General features: G+C 33.6%; 1 protein-coding gene across 15 annotated transcripts in view; it reads left to right on the top strand.

Annotated features, from left to right (window-relative positions):
* Window positions 1-5,646, top strand: part of ZNF730 (zinc finger protein 730) — a 72,011-nt gene extending 66,365 nt beyond the window's left edge. For all 15 annotated transcript variants that reach the window (XM_047437995.1, XM_047437996.1, XM_047437997.1 and 12 more), the window contains one exon: window positions 3,696-5,646. In XM_047437995.1, the coding sequence (XP_047293951.1) occupies window positions 3,696-4,981 (1,286 nt within the window). In that variant the 3' untranslated portion in view covers window positions 4,982-5,646. The remainder of the gene's footprint in view (window positions 1-3,695) is intronic.
* The last annotated feature ends 354 nt before the right edge of the window (window positions 5,647-6,000 follow it).

A 6,000-nucleotide genomic window follows, 5' to 3' on the forward strand; every position in this document is an offset into this window, starting at 1 on the left:
ATTTACAATATTAACTATTTCAACCTTTCTACAAGAGCACAATCAAGAGTGTGTTAATTTTTATATATTTGTGAATTTTTTTAGTTTTTTTCTCATTATTTATAGTCTCATTCCATTTTGGTCATATAAAGTAATTTATACAATTTTAGTTTTAAAAAATTTGGTAAGACTTTTTTTTTGGCCTAGGACGTTGTCTATGAAGGAAAATGTTCTATGAGCTATTGATAAAAGTGTGTATCCTAAGGTTATTGATGGGTGCCCTCTATACCTTTGTTAGGAATAATTGTTTTATACTGCCTTCAAGTTGTCTGTTTTCTTACTAATATTCTGTCTTGTTTTATTTTTATTACAGAAAGTGCAATATTAAAGTATACAATAATTATATTGCTCTCTATGTGTTTCTTTTATTCTGTCGATATTTGCTTTATATGTTTAGAGCCCTAATGTGAGAGATATATATACTCACACATACACACACAGAAACAAACACACACACATACACAGAAACACACGTGTATATACAAATGTTTCATAGGTTCCCAGTGAATAAATCTATAATTTTTTGAGGTCCTATTTTGTCTCTTTAGAGTTTTGACTTCAAGTACATTTTATAAAACATGATAGTTTTTAACTTAAGATGTAGTTGCATAATATTATTTTGACCTCTTCTGCTCTCATTTGATTAATATTTGCATGAAGCATCTACTTCCATCTTCCCACTTTCAGTCTGTTTTTATCATTAGATCTCAAGTGACTTGTAGAAAGGCAAGTTGGATCTTGGTTTTTAAAATGTTTAATAAATCTATTTATTGAAAGTATGTCTCTTGGCCAGGCGCGGTGGCTCACTCCTGTAATCCCAGTACTTTGGGAGGCTGAGGCAGGCAGATCACAAGGTCAGGAGATTGAGACCATCCTGGCTAACACGGAGAAATCCCATCTCTACTAAAAATACAAAAACAAAAATTAGCCGGGTATGGTGGCGGGCGCCTGTAGTCCCAGCTACTTGGGAGGCTGAGGTGGGAGAATGGCGTGAACCTGGGAGGTGGAGCTTGCAGTGAGCCAAGATCGCGCCGCTGCACTCCAGCCTGGGTGACAGAGTGAGACTCTGTCTCAAAAAAAAAAAAAAAAAAAAAGTTTATCTCTCAATTTGAAAGTTAATTATATATATTTTTAAATAATTTTATGAAAGAGAAAGACTTACTGTTATTTTATTATTTTGATTCTTGCATTTTTGTCCCTCATTTTCTCTTTTTGTCTTTCTTTGTGTCTTTTTGATTTTTGTATTGATATGGTTTTACTAATTTCTTATTCTCTTTGTGTATCTATACAGATATTTTCTTTGTGGTACCTTGGGGATTACATAAAACCTCTTAAAAAAAACAAGAGTAGCCAGGCGTGGTGGCTCACGCCTATAATCCTAGCACTTTGGGAGGCCGAGGCAGATGGATCATGAGGTCAGGAGATCGAGGCCATCCTGGCTAACACGGTGAAACCCTGTCTCTACTAAAAACACAAAAAATTAGCCGGGCGTGGTGGCAGGCACCTGTAGCCCCAGCTACTCAGGAGTCTGAGGCAGGAGAATGGTGTGAACCCCGGGAGGCGGAGCTTGCAGTGAGCCGAAATAGTGCCACTGCACTCCAGCCTGGGGGACAGAGCGAGACTCCGTCTCAAAAAAGAAAAAAAAAAACAATATATTTTTGGTTTGGTAAAAAATTAACTTCAACTGAATAAAAAATTCTTCCTTATTACATCTGCCTTGAAATTTGTCATTGATGTTGCTACCATCTTTTTATGTTGTATATTTATTAACAAATGTTTATAATAATTGCTATGCTTTTATCTTTCAAATTTTAGAGAATAATTTAAAATGTTTTCTGCACCATTATGATAATGCTACAAAAATCCTTTTTTTATGTATGTGCATATTTTTCTCAGAACATAATTTGTTTTTGTTTGATTATATGGTATTTTCTTGAATCCTTTTATTTTCCGTTTCAGGAACTGCTTTCAGCATCTTTTATATGTTTGTGAAGTTTTATAAGTATATGCAGTGCCAATATACTTTTTCAGAATTTGGCTATTTTGGAACATCATTTTTTCATTTTTCAGGACAGATTTGCTGATGGTGTTACTCTCACTTGAAAGCTATTTTTTTTCCCAGGACTTTGACTGCATCACACAGTTTCTTTCCGGCCTACAAAATTTTTGTTGACAATTCACTGGTTATATCGTAAGACTATGTTTGTATATGACACATCACTTTTATCTTGTAGCTCCCAAGATGCTCTGTGACTTTTGAAATTGTGCTTATATATGTATTTGTTATAAATATTTTGTATGTATTCTAGTTTGTTTGTTAAGCTTCTTCATGTTTACATTATTTTTCTTACTGAGGGATTTTTCAGGTATTATTTCTTCTTGTATTTTTTACCCCCATAATTTCTATTTTTTAATTTTTTCAATATTTTTGTTCTTATCTTCATTTCTGATTTTCTGTAGTCTGTGTTCCTGTTTCACTCATTGAATATTCAATTTTTTATCAATTTTTAAAATTAATGTGTACATCTTTTCTATGGTTTCCTTCTGAAAATTTTATAATATTTTTGATGGAATTATATTGCCCTGTTTTGTATATATTGTAATCTTTAATTGAGATTTGGACATTAAAAAAATCTACCTGTCACAATCTTTATAATGTAGTTCTGTCCTGACATAGTCTAAAAGCAATCGTTTTGGCTAGACATTCTGGGAGTCTCTCACACATGTTCTTAAAATGTGTCTTGTCTAAAATTTTGTGTTTGCTTTTAGTTAAAGGAGTTTGTGTTTCTTCTTAAAAATCAGTAGGCCAGTTGTGGTGGCTCATGTCTGTAATCCCAGCACTTTGAGAGGCTGAGGTGGACATATCACAAGGTCAAGAGATCGAGACCATCCTAGTCAACATGGTGAAATCCCATCTCTACTAAAAATACAAAAAATTAGCTGGGCGTGGTGGCATGTGCCTGTAGTCCCACCTACTTGGGAGGCTGAGTCAGGAGAATCGCCTGAACCTGGGAGGCAGAGGTTTCAGTGAGCTGAGATTGCACCACCGCACTCCAGCCTGGGTGACAGAGCAAGACTCTTGTCTCAAAAAAAAAAAAAAAATTAGTAATCACTTGCTACATTTGTTCTCTGTCTGTGATACCACAGTCTCTCTGATGCTGTAAAACTTATTTTTTTGTCTCAGCAGGCTCAAATTGTCATTTTAAAGTATGCCACCATTTCTTTCAGAACTTTTTGTCATAAGAGATAGAAACCAGTGTCTAGAAAAGCCCCTATAAACCAGAAATAAAGATGTATGTGCCAGTATTTTAACTTGTCTTTTAAAAAGGAAACCAAGAGTTGGTAATTTACTTGTAAAGTCACTATGTTACAATGGAGGGGAGGAAGAGCTGTGTTGGGTAAAATGTAACAGACTTTCTTTTTTCCTCTATATAGCTCTTTGCATTGTGTTCACCTGGGGCACTGTACACACTCAACTTACTTTTTTACAAATGTACTTTGGATTTTTGTTACATTTATATGTTTATGAAGAAATTAGGGCCTGTGGTATTTTGCTATGCTATCTTGTTATGTAGTTTGTATAACTTTATAGGTTAGGTTTATAAACTATACTCAGTCTAGTACATGCAGTAATTTGTTATTTTTATTTCTTTCAGTTATATGTTCTCATATTGCCCAAGACCTTTGGCCAGAGCAAGGCATAAAAGATTATTTCCAAGAAGTCATACTGAGACAATATAAAAAATGTAGACATGAGAATTTACTGTTAAGAAAAGGCTGTAAAAATGTGGATGAGTTTAAGATGCACAAAAAAGGTTATAATAGACATAACCAGTGTTTGACAACTTCCCATAGCAAAATATTTCAGTGTGACAAATATGTGAAAGTCTTTCATAAATTTTCAAATTCAAACAGACATAAGATAAGACATACTTCGAAGAAACCTTTCAAATGTAAAGAATGTGGAAAATTATTTTGCATTCTTTCACACTTAGCTCAACATAAAAAAATTCATACTGGAGAGAAATCCTACAAATGTGAAGAATATGGCAAAGCCTTTAATGAGTCCTCAAACTGTACTACACATAAAAGAATTACTGAGAAAAAACCTTACAAATGTAAAGAATGTGGCAAAGCCTTTAACTGGTTTTCACATTTTACTACACATAAGAGAATTCATACTGGAGAAAAACCCTACCAATGTGAGAAATGTGGCAAATTTTTTAACCAATCCACAAACCTTACTACACATAAAAGAATTCATACTGGAGAGAAACCCTATAAATGTGAAGAATGTGGCAAAGCCTTTAACCAGTCCTCAAACCTTACTGAACATAAGAAAATTCATACTAAAGAGCAACCATACAAATGCGAAAAATGTGGCAAAGCTTTTAAGTGGTCCTCAACCCTTACAAAACATAAAAGAATTCATAATGGAGAAAAACCCTACAAATGTGAAGAATGTGGCAAAGCTTTTAACCGATCCTCAACCCTTAATAGACATAAGATAACTCATACTGGAGGGAAACCCTACAAATATAAAGAATGTGGTAAAGCTTTTAACCAATCCTCAACTCTTACTATACATAAGATAATTCATACTGTAGAGAAATTTTACAAATGTGAAGAATGTGGCAAAGCCTTTAGCCGTATCTCACACCTTACTACACATAAGAGAATTCATACTGGAGAGAAACCCTACAAATGTGAAGAATGTGGCAGAGCTTTCAACCAGTCCTCAACCCTTACTACACATAAAAGAATTCATACTGGAGAGAAACCCTATGAATGTGAAGAATGTGGCAAAGCTTTTAACCGGTCCTCAACCCTCACTACACATAAGATAATTCATTCTGGGGAAAAAATCTACAAATGTAAAGAATGTGGTAAAGCCTTTAGGCGGTTCTCACACCTTACTAGGCATAAGACAATTCATACATAAAATTGTAAAGACTGTGGCAAAGCTTTTAAACAATCTTTATACCTTACTACACATAAGATAATTCATACTGAAGAGAAACCCTACAAATGTGAAGAATGTGGCAAAGCTTTTAACCAGTCCTCAAATCTTACTAAACATAAGGTAATTCATACTGGAGAAAAACCTACAAATGTGAAGAATGTGGCAAAGTCTTCAACCAATCTTCACACCTTACTACACATAAGATAATTCATACTGGAGAGAAACCCTACAAGTGTGAAGAATGTGACAAAGCCTTTAACAAATCCTTAATTCTTAACAGACATGATTCATACCAGAGAGAAACTCTACAAACCTGAAAGTTTTAACAGTGCTTTTGACAACACCTCAAACTTTTCCAGATGTCAAAGAAATGCTGGTGAGAAATTCTAGAAATATGAAGAATGTGACAAAGCCATTAAATTGTTGTCACATTTAATTGTAGGTAAGGTGATTCATACTGGAGAAAACTTCTACAAGTGTAAACAAAGTGGCAAAACTTTTAACCAATGCTCACACTTTATTGCACAGGACATTTATACTTGAGAATAAATATACAAGTGTAAAGAAAGTGAAAACCCTATTAATATCTGCTCACATCAACTCAACATCAGAGTTCATACTTAATAAAATCATTAAAAGTGCAATTACTGTCCAAAGATTTTTTCAGAAAATATAAGCCTTTAAACTTCAGAAGATGATTTATTTTGAAGACAAACATTGAAATGTAGAGAGTTATAGTAACTTTACTTGTATCACAATCTTATTCTACTCATTTTGTACTAGAGGCAAACCCTGAAGCCATTGCTCAAATTTTGTTCGACATCAGACAGATAATTTGTATTAATGAAAAACTCTCCAAATAAAATAGATTTGGAGAAAACATTTTTTTCAAAAACTACAGCTTAGGAAACTTCAGAGAGTTTATACTAAAATATATTTTTGTGGATGCAATAAATAGAAAAAAAAATTTAATCCAAAATTAAGTTTAGGTAAGGCCA

The sequence above is a fragment of the Homo sapiens genome, chromosome 19 (assembly GCF_000001405.40).
Source record: "Homo sapiens chromosome 19, GRCh38.p14 Primary Assembly".
Classification (NCBI taxonomy): Eukaryota; Metazoa; Chordata; class Mammalia; order Primates; family Hominidae; genus Homo; species Homo sapiens.